Genomic DNA, 18,049 nt, shown 5'->3' on the forward strand with positions numbered 1-18,049 from the left:
TATAATTTTAAGTGTGAAAACCTGTTTTTGCTTACGCACCTCAGGAACTGAAACTCCTGAAGTGGGCAGAGTCTGCTGAAAAAGAGAAGTTCATATGAAAGCTGAAAAAGAGTCAAACTCAAAACAAATCAGTGAAGTTTCTCATATCATTACATGCCTGTGAAATAAATGAGTAAATTAAAAATACATTTCCTTGGTATAATTTTACTGCTTCCTTGAATTAAATAATTAAATATCTTTTCATTGAATAAGAAATTATCTAACACAGAGTGGGTTAGGTTGTGAAATTATTTATCCAAAACACAACTTCATCTACCCAAAGCATGCTGATCAACATCTTTGGTCAGCTTTAGCTCCAAGTTCCATTCTCTTTAATAAATAATTTCCACTAAGTTTTTTTAATTTGCCCCTTTACCCATCCCAATTTTCATTTTGAAGTCCAACTCTCATTCTTTCCTAAAAATACTGTGTCTTTTGAACACAGACATAGCTTATGATGTTCATTTTGTTTTGTGATACTCTGGAAATAAGAAAACATATTCCATTAATACCAGTAAAAGAATAAAAACTATAATTAAATAAGTAGCAAGAATTTTACTTGAGAGTAATTTTTTTAAGATGGGGTTAAATACATTGACATTAGTCTTCACAACTGTGTTTTCCATTATCTACCACTACTACCCACTTTGTAGTTCATATTGGAAAGCCTTTTTTTTTTTGACAAGAAATGATAAAAGGTCACTGAATTCCAAAAGCCTGCATTCTATGGAAATGAGAACATAAAATACAAATTTGGATAATTAGTTGACAAATCACACACACAATACTAGATAAAGTTTCCCCATGCTGGAACGGGAGAAGAAAAGTTGGATGGGATGCCAGTTCTTAGATATTTGTGTCCCTGAAAAGAAGGAGGTAGTCAGAATTCCCTTTTCCTCCCTAGATACGAGCTATCTGAGGGAGGGTCTGGGCAGTGCTAGATCACCAAGATGGGTATGAAAAATCTGATAGTCCAGATATTATTATAGTCCCTTACCCAGGAGAACTTTAGAAAGGCAGCAAGAACCAAAAAAAAAAAAAAAAAAAGAAAAAAATAGCTGAATCTGAGATAGGTAAAACCTGACACCCTCACAGCTGTGCAGAATAGAGATGGACTAAAAGCATTCAGTGCACTCAAAAGTGACACAGAAGGAGAAGAAGAGGTCTAGCACAGCCCCACAGAAAATTAAGGTGTTCAGGAATACAGCTCTATTTGGAAGATATTTCCATAATATAAGTAGAAAGTACTGTAGCTGCAGATTTCTAGTCAAAAGAAGCCACGAAGTGGAAGAGTATGAGCTCTGGCCAACTATCCATTCCACAGGAGAATCTAATGGAAGTAATTATTGTTGTTTTGAAGATGAATTGACAGTAGGTTTGGTAGAGCCTTTACTGAAAACTTCCTGATTTCAGTAACATTCTTGACTTCTGAGTCCAAATCAGTCTACATAACACCAGGGACAACGAATATTTGTGCTAGTTTCTCTCTGGGTCAGTTCAAAGATATTTGCCAACCTTATTATCATTCTTTCTTAGCTTCGGGTTGAAGCTTAAGGTCTGAATAAAATTGCAAGACATGGATATAGTCCTTCCATCTTTATCATAATATATACAAGTTTGTTCTTCAAATTCAGGTCAGGAATGTAATCCTATGGATCCTTATCCCATTCTGTGCCATGGACCCAGGAAACTCTCAGAGACTCTCAAGCAACCAAAATAAGAGACTTCAATCAGCCTCCAGAGCCTGAGTCAGAGATGCCTTTTACCTTAGAAGAGTGTATGCTTACCATGCATACATTTGCAGAGAGCAGGCACTGGAAAGCCAAGTGAAAAGATTATGGCTGTCTAAATGGTTCAGAATAACAACCAAATGCAATTCAAGAGCTTCAGATAGATCCTGGTCCACTTTCACTTTTACCATGCCCAAAAAGTAAATAAATAAAAGCAACAGAAGGCATTTTGGGGATAACTGTAGACATTTGAATATGGACAAGATAATGACTGATATTATGGAATCATTGTTAATTTTCTTAGGTGAGAGTATAATAATGTCATTAGGTAGAAAATTGTCCTTAGTCTTAGAAGGTGCTTGCTGAAATATTTAGTGATGTGGTGTTAGGCTATGTGCAGCTTACTTTCAAAAGCTTCAGCTTTATATATATATATACACATACATATATATTTATATGTAAAGAAGTATATATAAAGAAATTATGGCAACACAATAGCAATTATTGAATATATGTGGAAAATATATTGGATTTTTTTATTGTTAGTGAATATTTTCTAATAAAATTTGAGAGAAGAAAGTTCTTTCTACCTCTTCATTATATCCTTTAACGCCTAAAAGTGTGTAAAAATGTTTCTACAATGAAATAAAAATATGTACATTATCTCAGTGAAAACTATGAAGTTGCTAGAAGGTTGGGAGAGAAGTCATAGGAGTGGGTGGGAGAGAAATAAGGAGCACTATTTTCATGGAAACAGAGTTCTCATTTAAGATGAGTAAATAGAGGTAAGTTTCTAGGCTGCTGGGAAAGAGGAACAGAGAAAGAGGGGGAACTGTTAAAGATAAATGAAAAACAAGGCTTTTTAGAAAAAAGCAATATTTCAATTAGAGCAGAAGCCCTTATTGACAGGCATCGCACTTTTCCAAATGTGTTCCTTTTGGGTCTCAAATGCAGAAACCCACAGCGGCCAAAAGATAATACAAATAGGTAAAACAGGTCCGATGTTGCAAAGGTAAAGACTGTGCCATGCTGGATAATAATCCTCCCATTTGAAGTTATCCAAAAAAGAAAAAGAAAAGACACTGTGGTATGAAATTGAAACCTAGCTACCACTTTGCAATTAATTGGCAATTCATGGATAACATACTTGAAGTCTTCCTCTTTCTCAGAGCAGCAGGGGTATGAGATATCTACTGATAGAGAGCAAGTGAGGTTGGCAGAGAGGTGGTACAATGAAAAAGGTAATGAAACAGAGGTTTGTCACTTCTTTTCTGAAAATAAAAAAGCAGTTTGCTAAGGATGAGTAGCAGGATCAACCAAAACTGATGACCCAGCTGGAGCTAGAAGTTTTAAATATGTAAGAGAGAAAGCCACCAGCCCTAAGAATTTTCTTATGCAACACTCAGCCTTCTGAGAGCAACACTAGAAATTTACTCCAAGAATAAGAGTGACAAAACCAACATATATCTAACCTCATTTACAATCAAAATGTGTAAAGAGTTATATATTAAATGTACATGCCCATCAGTAGTTTATTCCTGTTACAATGAGCAAACCATGGTACTTAGATCTAAAAGAAAAGTAGAAACTTATTAGAAAATAAATTTAGCTATCGTATCACTTCTTTTTTTACTCTCCTGTACTTAATTTTTAAATATCAAAGATGAGCAGAGTAAATGTTTTGGTTTTTTTGAAAATCATCATGAGTGCATGATTCTAAATGTAATATATTTTTAATCAGAATTAATACAGAAACTGTATATTTTTATTTAATCCAATGTGAGGTGTGACTACAGAGGAATGTGATTGATTTTATTTGATCAGTATCTTTTTAATATTAAATAGAATACACAGTACAGATAATTAGTTTAAAAGATGCATTTGCCTTCAGGGCACTCATTAAGTTCAATTTAATATCAAAGAATTTTTTAAAATTCTATTATTCTTAAGTATTAGGATATCTCTTGTCTTCATATTTTCTAATGTGTAATCATTTTAAATTGACAATTTAATCCAAATTGTCATAGGACAAAGAAAAATCTTTGGTGGAGATTATTGGAGGTTTGACTTAGTTAAGATATAATGAGAGCACAGTACTCACATTAAAAGGGTCATTAGTTATTTCAGGCTAAAGGAAAACTTTAAAAATGATACCTTATACCTACATAAGAACATTTATATTTTTATATATATATTTTACATTTATATATTTTTCATGTTTGCTATCTTGCCTCATTTAATACTCCCACTGAAACAAGATACTTTATCTTTCAGGTTAGGAAGCTGAAAATCAGAGAGCTTAGATGCCTAACCCAGGAAAACAAAGTTAGTGACAGAATATTGCTTCCCTAACCCAGGCTCTATTTATTCAAATAACAGTAGTTGCAAGAGGAGACTTTTTAAAATTACTATTTTTAGCCTTGCCTTCATTTTTTAAGTGGTTTGGAAATAAAATTATTTTAAAATATTGATGAAGAATGAAAAATATTTAGAAATCACTATATCTACAAAGTGATACACACACACACACACACACACACACACACACACACTTGTTTTGCCTGAAAAACTGGCTTGAATAATGTGAATTAATTTAACACAATAACTTCCAGTGTAGTAGTTAAAGTGTTCCAAATATACAATTGGATATCTCTGGCATCAAAAAAGTAGTAAGAGACAGAGAAAAAAAACTAGGGTAAGATAAAGAAAAATTGTCTTCATAAAATGACACTTTGTCTTAGCTGGACAGGTAAAGTTGTTCTCTCAAACAAGATAATAAAGTGTATTATCTCTAGGATATAAAAATTACATATATTTTTGGCTTCCATGTTTTTTTTATATTTCAGTTTCATATAATTTGTTTAAACTTTATAATTCTTGAGGTCCTTAATTGTGTACACTCACACATATGAATACAATGCAAGTTTTAAAAAGGACGTGAGATAAAAATGATTTTAATACTATTGTTGTCTTTATTAAAACCTTTAGTAAGAGATTATTTCAGTCATAATACAAGCAAGACACTGAAAAGAAACATAAATTATTTTTCTTTTCCACAAAAATTCTGATATGTCTAATTAAGATGTAACTATAAAAATAAAACATTTTAAAAGCTACACATATTGTAATCTTATCCAGGGTCCCTTGACTACTTCTCACCTGACTCAAATTTTAAAGTTTGCATTAACAGAAATTTAATGGTAAAATATATTTTTAACTGTGGTTACTTCACTACCCTTCAACTGTAATTGCTCACAAAATATTCCATTCTTACTTAGTAAATATGATTGTTTATGTCTATTTGTAGAGTTTTGTCTGGAGGCTATTGACAAGAAGGGAACCAACAGAATTTTAAAAAATAAAAACATGTATTTGGGGGCTATTAGAGACACAGAAGAAATTATGGAGGAGGGTAGAAAACATATCAAAGATAGAAAGCAATGGAGAAAAATGGAGACAGAGGAAGCTCTTAGAAGAAAGAAAGAACAAAATTCTCTCTCTGTTGTTTTCCTCAATTATAGAAACTGTTCTTTCCAAAGACTGAGCAAAGAAAACTATGAAATCGAGGAGGAGAAAGAGGGGAGCTGATATTTAGAGCACCCATCTTCAAAACACATTTCAAAATGAAACATGCACATCCTATTGACTATTTTTTCAGATTATTCTTCAGAACTCTTAATTTACATATAATTCATTAATAGATACCTATTTATGAATGTGTATATGTATATGTGATTATGTTTGTGTATGTTTGGGACAGGGATCTGAGGGAAGTTGGTAACTTGAAAAAATCACCCCCTTCAAAGAACTCAGTATAATAGACTGATACATACAAATTTTATGTTCATAAAATTAATCTATAATATTTCCTGTTATGCCTATTTTATCTCCCTATAAAAACGAGAGCCAGTTCTAGAAATATATCATTGTATAGTTAGCGTATTGCTGCTTTCCAGAATACAAATATAGCACTATAGGTAATGAAAGTATATTGATAATAATATTTAGAATTAAAGCCTAGGTCTCCTTTTCACCATCCTTGAAAAAGATCTTGAATTAAAAAACAAAGAGGTTATAATGGAATTTGTTCTTGTCTTTTGCTCCTTTAAATATCCATTGATCTCATGCCAAAGTATTTTCTAACCAGGTTAAAGTCCAATTCTGTACTCACGTTAGGCTAAGATTCAATTGAGTTAAAATTTTACACTGACTGCCAGTCAACCTTATCATGAACTTTCATTATGTGCATGTAATTAATTGGGTCCAACGAACAATATCAGTTCTGAGTTATAGACTCTTTTCCCCCGACCATATAATTAGAATATAATTACCCACAGGATATCAGAATGATGCAGAACCTTTCCTCTAAATGCGCCCTCATTAGGAAACAAGTCTCAATGTACACTTATTCAATCAGTGTGAATTAATTAAAATGTTACTGAAATAAAAGAGGGTAGCGATAAAGAGTATCTGACATCTATTAAGAGTCTATCACTAGAGATCTGCATGCACAGTTTATATTTAAATCCTTTTAGCCGAAATAGAAACTTTGCTATGTAATGTTATATACATCCAGTGTACTAGGAAATCTGAGTACATACATCGGTGTGTGTCATCATTTTTGAAAAGAGTACAAGATACGATAACTATAGAATCTTTAAGAATTGGGTAGGAATCTAAGAGCCCCATTATTCCATAAATATGTCATCATCAGATAGAATCTACCTGGCGGGCAAAAATCATTTTAACTCAAACTACCTAAGCAATTATTGGTTTAACCCACAACCTTATATTACAAATCTGAAAATATTTGTCCCAAAATTGCTTAGGAGACAACAATTCGAAAAGCCCAGATTTGTGAAAACACTAATTATTTTTGTCTTTATAAAATAACCTGAATTCCTTAAGCTAGCTCAAGTTATTACAGTAGCATATTTTCTTTAAGCAGCACATTCAAATACAGCTAAGAATAGCTTCTTTTTAAGAGAATAAATAATACATCATACCACACATTCTGATTATATAAAACACATTTAAAAATAGTAAATGCACAAAGAAGCTGAGGGACACATGATACATAGCGCACAAGAAGCTGCGGATTCAAACAGTAACATTCTACCTAAGAGCTATTCATCTTTATTTCTCCAGGTGTATAGTTATATTCAATAAAACTTTGCTAAATAAATAACCCGTGTACAAAGGAATACTCAGCATTAGTCAGAAACAATGCCATGAACTGTTAACATAAAAATTTCAGAGCTGCATGTAATAAACTAAGATATATACATATTTTCAAGCTTTCAGTGTTATTATATATTCCTCAGAAAATTTTAGATACAGAAAAAGGTTTTATAAAACATAGTTCTGGTAATAAAAATTTGGCATTCACTTTTATAAGTAGACATGCACCACTTTGTAATGGAAATTCTGCATGAGTATTAAGATAAACTAGGCTATCTACAAATGTATACTTTTTATATGCTCTTTAGGAGCAAACTTCAAGCAGTTTTAAATTATTAGTCTTTTTTACAAGAATGTTTAACTCTATAAGATTATATATATATGTGTGTATATATATATACATGTGTGTATACATGTATATACTTGTGATTACAACATTCAAAAATATGTTTTATATACCTATATATGTGTATATACACATATATACATATATATATATGCATGTTGTAATCACATTCTGGTATAATATTCTATTCAGACACTAAACTCATCTTGGTGGAGACCAAAAGTGAGAGAAATAATGGTTCCACTCTGCTAAGCAAATGAAGATTGTCTCACAAAGGTTTGCTTTATTCTTAACCTAAAATTTTTTTAGAATTTCAGTAATAAATACATGTAGCTACAGTTGCCTGCTGAAAATATTCTATTGGAGTAACATTCACTAAAATGCCACATTAACTAAGAGTAATTACTACCAAAAAGCCACAATTTCTAAACAAGAGAATGTGAATATTTTTGAAGTTCCATTCTATAATAAACATCAATTTTCATTTTCTGAACACAAAGAAGAATGATTATTTATTATATTTTACATGGAAAACTATATTGCTTAAATTATATTTAAAAATCAGATTTTTAAATACAATTTAATATCCAGAGAAAAACATCTCAATTCTCCTCAGAATTCTGAAAATGTTCCCTTTATATTCTCTACCTGCTGTAACTCCTCATTTTACATGTGAGGCATTTTACAGTACCATCTATTGGATATTTTATATAACTACAACACATAAAACTCACCAGCTTTTCGAAATTTAGTAGTAACTATAAGAAGCTGCAAGAGCCATTCCGGAAACTAAATACAATGCTACTTTGGTATCCACTAACATTTCCTCATCATCACACACTTTAAACTCAATTTTATTAGCTTCTAACAAAATGATTTAATTATGAGTTACCAATGATTTTTTAAAACCAAGCCTCCTTGTTATATATTTGTTTTAATTTTTACTTGATATATATGTTACTGTCTGATATATTTTTTCTTGACTCAGGGAAAAGAGTGATAAATGATGGGAATTTTCAAAAGCTGACTGAATGCTATTCATTCACTCAGCAAATATTTGTTAAGCATCTAGTCTATGACCAAATCAAATTAGGCACTAGACATAAAGAGATACACCCTTTTGCTGGGAGTGATAAGAATAATGGGGGTGCTAGTCAATGAGCATAAGGGACAGTTTCACAAGAAATGTTTCAAGTTCAATTCCTGCTATGTTGACTTTAAGCTTCTGTGGGATATATCTGAGAGGAAACTTAAAACATGAAGTGAGGGCCGGGTGCAGTGGCTCATGCCTGTAATCCTGGCACTTTGGGAGGCTGAGGCAAGTGGATCATCTGAGGAGTTTGAGACCAGCCTGGCCAATATGGTGAAACCCATCTCTACTAAAAAAATACAAAAATTATCCCGGCATGGTGGCTTGCTCTTGTAATCATGGCTACTCAGGAGGCTGACCCAGGAGAATCGCTTGAACCCGGGAGGTGGAGGTTGCAGTGAGCTGAGATCACGCCACTGCACTGCAGCCTGGGCAACAAGAGTGAAACTCCATCTCAAAAATAAATAAATAAGTTTATTTATTAAATTAAAAAAAACACGAAGTGAGCATTTCGATCTAGATGTATGTGGGGAGAATGGGCTCATACAGACACATGCAAACATGGTAGCTGTAGCTCTGGAACTGGATAACATAATTTATAAAGTGTGGGTGTAATAAGATGAGAATTGAAGAAAAAACTGAAGTTTTACACATATTAAAGAATGAAAGGAAGACTAGGGATTTAGTAATATTGACAAAGTGTGGCTTAAAAGGTAAAAGAAAACCTAGTGGAAATGCACTGGATGAGTGTTAGAGGCTATCAAAGGTAAGCATCTCAGTGTCAAACACTGTAGAGCATTCAAAACAGATTATACTTGGAAAGGGTTTCCAGTAGATGCTGTTGGTAGCTCAAAGCAGATCCTTTGCTACCTTGCCAGAGCAACTATCACCAGCTGCTATGAGTGTTAACTTCTGAAAGCTTGCAGCCGTCCCTAAGAATTAACCTTTATCCACAGAAATAGGCTGTGCCAGGAGGCCCTAGATAATGACTGACACATAGGTGAGGAAAGGCCAGCCTTCTTGCCTTAAGTTAGGAACAATCCTATGATTGGATTTTTGCTGCAAAGCCCTAAAGGTACGGGCCAAGGCTAAACTATCACTATGATCAACATTCTTGCTTAGAGCTTGCCTCTTCCTTTTTCTGCCTCCCTCCCTTCATTATAGGTTGTTTTGTTTTTGTTTTTGTTTTTTTCTAAAGAACTTTTTCTCCCTCCATAAATCACACAAAGCCAAATCTTGGCTTAATGCTCTACTCCTTAGGAACCCACCTAAAAGAGTGCAATTCGATTTAGTAAGGATAGCAAGAACAATTTCATATCCATGTTACAGTCAGAAGTTACACTAAAGTGGGTTGAGAAGGAAGAGAGGAATGTGACACAGTGGGTGTTATCTACACACCTGCACAAACATACTTATGGTTATGTGAAGAGCCAGACAAGAGTCAGCATGCAAATACAGGAAATAGAATTGCACAGGAGAAGGACAAACAGCCCTTTCACTGGAATGAGTTCTACAACACACTAATAGTAAAAACAATATTCACCTACTGGACTCAAATCATGATGCTGTTTAGTACTAAATTACATAAGTGTGCTGGATTATACCTTGTCTGGGTTTTTCCTATTGTAAATTAGGAAATTGATATTTTATTAAAGATCTGTGACAAATGCCATGAAAGGAGAAAAATGTGGAATTCCAGGAGAATTAAGGCAGAGAATACTAGAATGAAAGAAATCTGAAAGAATATACGCATTGGGTGGCTCAAGGATGTTGAAGAAATGATAATCAAAGGAAGTAATTTAAAAATATTTGTGGTCAAGATAAAATGAGAGTAATGTAATGAAGAATAGATCACTAGGTACAGAGCCGTAATCTTCCAGGGTTTGGGTTTCCTTGGGCAAATGAGGTTGAATAAGTCAAAGCTCTTTAGAGTATTAGCAACAGAATTTCAACTGATAGATTTTTATCAACTGGACTGGACAGCAAGGAGTGGTCATGGAAAGCTCGAGAACTATCCTTATTCCACATAAAGGGGAACATGGGTTGAACTAGGGAACAAAGACAGGCAATGAGACAGAGATCATGGTAGTATTTACAAAATTGATGTGTGGACCAAAAGTTATATGTGACTTAATTCTTCACCAGGTTTCAAGTAAAAGTTGAGAATAAACAAGCCATATTTAATAGTAAAACAGAGAAAGTCATGTACATAAATACTTTCTGATCACCACTGTTTCAGCAGGAATCATTAAAACTACAGATTACCTTTGCAAGGTGGAATTTATCCCTTAATGTCTAGTGGTGGTTAAGAATGTCTGGTTTTGACTGCATTCAAAATGTAAAAATTAAAAGATAAAAATGATATAAAGCATTTGTCTCTACTCTAATGCTATTAGCTCTAGATATATGCCTTGCCCCAACCCCAAATTTCTTTGAAAGGTGAAAGCAGAAATATCAACATAGAAGTTCACATATTTGGGAGCTTTTATGCCATAGTTTGTGGCAATTTAGTTTCACCAGTGTTTAATGAGAATAGCAAATTTTGCACATTCTTGCCAACACTGGGTATTATCATTTTAAAAATATTTTCCAAAATGGATAGAAAAATTAAATCTCATTGTTTTAATTTATATTTCTTCATTACTTTTTACAATATAGGGATTTGGTTTACAATATAGGGATTTGGTTTACAATATAGGGATTTGGTTTACAATATAGGGATTTGGTTTACAATATAGGGATTTGGTTTACAATATAGGGATTGCATTTTACAATACAAAGATTTGTTGTTGCTGTTGTTACTGTTATTATGATCCTTATCTTTAACTTGATTTGTAAGTTTTGGGATTTAGCATTTTCTTTAAAATAAATTTTCATTGCTCAAGGCAGTTAACATTTTATCTTTCTCATTTTGGAAAAAAAAAAAAGGCTGTGCCTAGGCAAAAATTAAACCCTGAATTCATGTTTGATTTTTTTGTAATAGATGTAATGTAGAATTTACCTTACTTTATTTTCACGTGGTTATACAATAATCCTGACGCCTTTGATGCTCCACCAGATTTCATTTGTGACTTTTATTATAGACTATATAATTACATATAGTTCAATATGTCTTTAGACTTTCTATCACATCTTTACAACTTTTAGAGCCATATTATTTTGATCACTGAAAATTTAACAAACATATTTTTAAGACTTTTTGTTAGAATAAGCATTTTTTTATTACTCTTCGTTTTTAAGATTTTATAATGTTTATGTACATTTATTCTTCCAGACAAAATTAGAAATCATTTTGTCCAGCCAAAAAATTGCATGCAAATTGCACCAAGTAGATAAATTAATTTGAAGTGACGTAGGTTCTTTTTCATTCAGTTTAATTTTCTTTACACTTAAGAGAACAATTTAGTTTTTTGTTTGTTTGTCTGTCTGTTTTGCTTAGGGATAGCATGATCTCTTTTCAATTTGTTGCCATTCTCTACAGTAGTAAAAGGAGATTTTCGTAATCCTCTTCTCCAGATTACTTATTTTGTTGTCCTCAGTGTTGATTTTTGCCTTATTCTAATACAGATATAGTTAGTTTCTGCTAAAACATTATTTTTTTCTATACTCTTTCTTAATTCTTTTGTTTCTTTCAAGTCAGTGCATTATAAAGTAAATGTTTTCTTTAGTATTCTTGACCATCTAAAACTATTGCTATTGATGTCTTCTTCTGTTTGATGCAATAAAACTTTATGTATGGCATTCATCTAACTTTTATCTGCCATCCTTTTTCTTTATTTTTGAGTTGCATAACTATTAGTATTTTATTTGGCAACAGGTAGACTCTTTAATACCAAAAGGCACTTGGGTCATAAACCATCAGTCTGCATTGGCAGTTGATAGAAAAGTCAAAGGAAACAAATACAACTACACCGATTATTGCAATATTGTTTAGGTACTGTCCAATACAGAAACAACTTCACACAGAAAAATTAATCTAAGGTCTCAGTAACCACAAAATAATAAAAAATATTTTCTCTAATTGAATACAATCAAGCCTATAATATTTATTTTTGCTAAGGCTACCAAGAAACTCAGGGAAATTCTGAAAAATTACCTCTGTTAACTTTGAATGGTATTGTGAAATAAATTTGAGTTTTAACTTAATTTTGGCACAAACTTACTACATTTTATTTTGCTGCATATGGTATATTACATAAGCTGTTTTGAATACTGTTAGCAATAACTTGTAGAATAATTTAAATCATTCATGAATACATAATTTCCCATCCTCACTTTAGAATCAGACATATATAATACTCTTTGTTTTAAGTCTATTTTTAAAATTTAGCTTTTAATACATTGTAATCTCTCTTTGGATAATGCTCATGTATGGCTATATGTTTAAGATTTCCCGACACCATCAAGATGGCTGACTAGAGGAACCTAGCACTCATCTCTTAAACAAAGAAGGGCCACAACAGCAAATAAATAACCACAAATCAAATGGAGCATCTAAGGGAGAACACAAATTCAGCAAGAAAATGATGAAGCCCTTCTAAGACATGGAAACTCCTGATGGCACAATAAAAATAAAAGCAAAGCAGCTAGCCAGGATCAGCATAGAGGCAGGAGAGACTCTCCATTGCAGGAAAAAGGTAGGTGGGAGATTCCCCAGCCATCTACATTCCCATCAGAGATGTCTGGAATCCTAGGGAGAGAAAAGCCCCTCTGCCCTCACAGACCCCGAGCCTAGTGCAGAGAGTTTCCTGGAGTTCACATGACTGTATTGTTCCAGAGAGGAAAATCAAACTGGGTGCCCTACACTCCTGGGACCAAAGCTGATGCATCATGGCATTATTTTGAGGGAAGAACCATCACCAGAATACATTCTGACTTGGGCCAAATAGCCCCTGTATCTCCACATCCATAGTATTCCACTGATATTCCCCTACATCCACTGAGAAGGCTACAGTCTCATGAAACCAACTGGAACTGGTGGTACAACTGTGTTCCCAGCATCTGAGCCCATGTAGCTCCCTGTACTCCAGAAAATAGGTGATCTAAACCCTTAGGAAGTCTGCCTCCAGGACACAGGTAGCTGAAGCATGTGCACACCAAAGCTTGAGAGCCACCTGTCTTATCTGCCGTCACCAACAGTGACCTCTCCCCCTCTAGCAGTGGGGCCACCACATGTCCATGTGCAATGTCAATAACCTGCAAACCAGTTTAACTGGGGTCCACTGCCAGTGCCCCAATGTGTGCCATCCAGGAGCCCGAGGCCATCCTCCTCAGGAATTGCTACCACTTCAAGCCCAAAAAACTGACCTCTCCAATAGTGGGGCTGCTGCGCACCTTTGCACACCATTTAGGAGCCAGAGGAGTGGACCAACCAGGGTCTACTGCCACCAACACCCATGCCTACAAATATCCCCCAGGATCCTGAAGACTGGCCTACCTGGGCTCTCCCAAAGAAAGTTATGACAGAGCCTCCACAAACAACTACAGCCTAAACTACTGAGAAAATCACATATGCTACTGATTTGATTACAGGCAAAAAAAAAAAAAATCATATGGAGAATACATTACTGTACCTACCTAGAACTAAAACCAAAGCACTCTACCTAACTGACTCTATAGATACATCTACAGGAAAAAAAGTGTTACCCTATGAAAGCTACTTCAGAAAATTCAAAGAAGTGACAGCTATATCAGAGATGTAGATATCAGTGTAGGGATGCAGGAAACATGACAAACCAATAAAACATAACACCTCTAAAGGAAAATAATTATTCTGCAGTAACAGACCACAAATAAAAGAAAATCTATAAACTACTTGAAAGGGAATTCAAAATAATTATCTTTCAAAAATTCAGTGAAATACAAGAGAACACAGATAGGCAATACCGTGATATCAAGAAAAGAATTCATGATCTGAATGAGAAATTCAACAAAGATGTCCAACAGAAATCATAGAACTGAAGAATTCAATGAAAATATAAAAAGTACAGTTGAGAGCTTCAACAATTACAGAAGAAATAATTTCCGAGCTTAAAGACAGATCTTTTGAAGTATCCTAGTCACACACAAAAAAAAGAGAAAAAGAATTTTTAAAAAGAGTGAAGAAACTCTATGTACATACAGGAGAACTTTAAGCAAACACATTTTTAAATTCTGGGAGTTCCAAAAAGAAAAGATGGGGAAAGACATGGAAACCTATTGAATAAAATAATACTTGAAAATATCCTATGTCTTGGGAGATAAATAGACATCCAGATACAGGACACTCAATAATCCTCAAATAGACTTAAATTAAAAAGGTCCTATCGATGGCGACAGGGGACAGACAAATTCCTAGGCAGACAGGGATGGGTCTCCAGTGAAACCCAACCTTCCAGCAAAGGACAGTTTAAAGCCTGAAAACCAAGCTGCCAGTTCCAGATAGACTCCACAACTGGCATGAGAACTTCTATCTCCATCTCACCCACTCAGTCTTGATTGGTTCCTTCTGAATGATGCCTTTTAACTAATCAAATGATATTTTTTTCAAGACCAACCATGGACCCATCAGCATGCATTCCCCGATTCTAAGCCCATAAAAACCCCAGACTCAGACTCACAAATGGCTACCTGTTTAGGGGTCCTCTCTCATTGCCGAGAGCTTTCCTTCAGTGACTCAATACAATTCTACTATATCTTACTCACTTTCTGGTGTGCACATACCTTGATCCTTTTGGTCACGGACAAGAAACTGGAAATCCTTGAACTGCAGGAGCAAAAGAGCTGTAATGTTCCTGCTTGCTGAGCTATAGGTGGTGAGAATAAAAGAGTGGTAATATTCTCTGCCGCTCGCCGAACAACAGGACAGAAAAACCCACTGGGTGCCACCTTCTCCTGCTTGCTGAACAATGGCAGCAAAGAGCCACTGGGTGCCCTTTCTCTCACTCACTGAACTGTGGAAGCGAAAAAGCCACAACACTATCTGAGGCACATTATAGTCAAACAGTCAACAGTCAATGATAACAAGAGAAAAGAATCAAGTCACATACAAGGGAGTCCCCATTAGACTAACAACACACTTCTCAGAAGAAACCATATGGTCAGAAGAGCATGAGATGATATATTCAAAATGCTAAAAGAAAAAAAAAAACCTGTCAGCCAAGAATACAATACCCAGCAAAGCTATCTTAAAGAAATAAAGAGTAAAGTTTTCTCAGACAAGCAAAAACTGAGGGAATTCATCATCACCAGACTGGATATACAAGAAATAAGGGAGTTCAACATCTGAAGGCAAAAGGATGATATCTGCCATTATGATAACAAATGAGAAAGACAAGGAATGAAATGTTATTTCTACAGAAAACAAGCAAACTGCAAAAAATAACTTAAGAGAGAAAGAGAGAAACAAAACAAATACAAAACAATCAGAAAACAAATACCAATGGGTAGTTAGTCTTCACCTATCAACAACTATGAAGAGGTTTAATTCACCAATTAAAAGATAGAGATTTGGCTGAATGGATTAAAAAACAACAAGATCCAACTATATGCTGCCTACAAAAATCTCACTTCACTTGCAAAGACACTCATAGACTGAAAGCAAAGGAATAGAAAAAGATATTCCAATGCAAACTGAAACGAAAAGTAGGCAGGATTATCTATATTTGTATCAGACAAAGTAGACTTTAAGTCAAAAAACATAAAAACAGACAAAGAAGGTCATTAGATAAAAATTAAGTGGTCAATTCAGTAAGAGGATATAACAATTATAGAAAAGTAAATAAACATATATATACACACTCAACATTGGAGACCATAATACAATAATAGCTAGGAACTTCAATGCCCCACATTGAGTATTAGACAGATAATCTAAAAGGATAATAAATTGTAAAATATTGGACTTACACTGCACTATAGACCAAATGAACCCAATAGATATTTACAGAGTATTTCATCCAATAGCTGCAGAACACACATTATTCTCCTCAGGACATGGGACATTTGCAAGGATAGACTGTATCTTAGGCCTCAATATAAATCTCAAACATTTTAAAACATCAAAATTCTCTCAAGCATCTTCTCAGAACACAATAAAATAAAATCAGAATCAATATTAAGAAGAACTTTGGAAATTGTACAAATACATGGAAATTAAACAACATGCTCCTGAATGACAAACAGGTCAATAAGGAAATTAAGAAGAAAGTAAAAAAAATTCTTGAAGACATGAAAATAGAAATACCTATGGGATAGAGCAAAAGAAGTGCTAAGAGGGAAGATTACACCAATGAACACCTATATAAAAAATTAAAATATTTAAAATAAACAACCTAACAATACACCTCAAGAAACTAGAAAAGCAAGAACAAACTAAATTCAAAATTTATGGAAGAAAAAAATAATAAAGATCAAAGCAGAACTAAACAAAATAGAGACTAAAAAATTACAAACAGTCAACAAAATGAAAAGTTAGTTTTCTGAAAAGATAAACTAAAACGACAATTAGACTAAGAAATAATAAAGAAAACCTCAATAAATAAAACCAGAAACAAAAAAGGAGACATTACAACTGATACCACATAAATACAAAGGATCATTAGAAACTGTTATGAACAACTATACACTACCACACTGGGTAATCTAGAGGAAACATATAAATTCCTGGAAAACTTACAACCTGCCAAAATTGAACCAAGAAGAAATAGAAAATCTGAACAGACCAATTACAAGTAACAAGACTGAATCAGAAATAAAAAGTCTCCCAAAAAGAAAACAACAACAACAACAACAACAACAAGGCCCAGGACAGAGAGTTTTACTGCTGAATTCAACCAAACTTTTAAAGACAAACGAAACCAATTATTTTTAAATTACTCCAAAAACAAAAAAATAGACCATACTTCTTAATTCACTTTATAAGTACAGCATCACCCTGATAACAAAACGAAACACAGACACAAAACAACAACAAACTACAGGCCAATATCCCTGATGAATATGGGTGTAAAAATCCTCTACCAAATAATAGCAAAGCAAATTCAACATCACATCAAAAAGATAATTCATGGGGGAGGAGCCAAGATGGCCGAATAGTAACAGCTCGGGTCTACAGCTCCCAGCATGAACGACGCAGAAGACGGGTGATTTCTGCATTTCCATCTGAGGTACCGGGTTCATCTCACTAGGGAGTGCCAGACAGTGGGCGCAGGTCAGTGGTCGCGCGCACCATGCGCGAGCCGAAGCAGGGCGAGGCATTGCCTCACTTGGGAAGCGCAAGGGGTCAGGGAGTTCCCTTTCTGAGTCAAAGAAAGGGGTGACGGACAGCACCTGGAAAATCGGGTCACTCCCACCAGAATACTGTGCTTTTCTGACGGGCTTAAAAAATGGCGCACCATGAGATTATATCCTGCACCTGGCTCAGAGGGTCCTACGCCCACGGAGTCTCGCTGATTGCTAGCACAGCAGTCTGAGATCAAACTGCAAGGCGGCAGCGAGGCTGGGGGAGGGGCGCCCACCATTGCCCAGGCTTGATTAGGTAAACAAAGCTGCCAGGAAGCTGGAACTGGGTGGAGCCCACCACAGCTCAAGGAGGCCTGCCTGCCTCTGTAGGCTCCACCTCTGGGGGCAAGGCACAGACAAACAAAAAGACAGCAGTAACCTCTGCAGACTTAAATGTCCCTG

At 34.6% G+C, this 18,049-nt stretch overlaps 1 protein-coding gene across 26 annotated transcripts in view; it reads right to left on the bottom strand.

The window, feature by feature from the left end:
- Positions 1-18,049, bottom strand: part of DGKB (diacylglycerol kinase beta) — an 829,810-nt gene that overhangs the window by 485,148 nt on the left and 326,613 nt on the right. For 13 of the 26 annotated variants that reach the window (XR_001744571.2, NM_001350722.2, XM_011515154.3 and 10 more), the window contains one exon: positions 40-75. The exons of 5 other annotated variants lie outside the window; for them this stretch is intronic. Coding sequence is in view for 20 of the 21 variants with exons in the window: in NM_001350722.2 (NP_001337651.1) it covers positions 40-75 (36 nt within the window). In the remaining variant the exon portion in view is untranslated. The remainder of the gene's footprint in view (positions 1-39; positions 76-18,049) is intronic. 8 more of the 26 variants (NM_001350711.2, NM_001350707.2, NM_001350712.1 and 5 more) reach the window with 1 other exon arrangement.

This window comes from Homo sapiens, chromosome 7 (assembly GCF_000001405.40).
Source record: "Homo sapiens chromosome 7, GRCh38.p14 Primary Assembly".
NCBI lineage: Eukaryota > Metazoa > Chordata > Mammalia > Primates > Hominidae > Homo > Homo sapiens.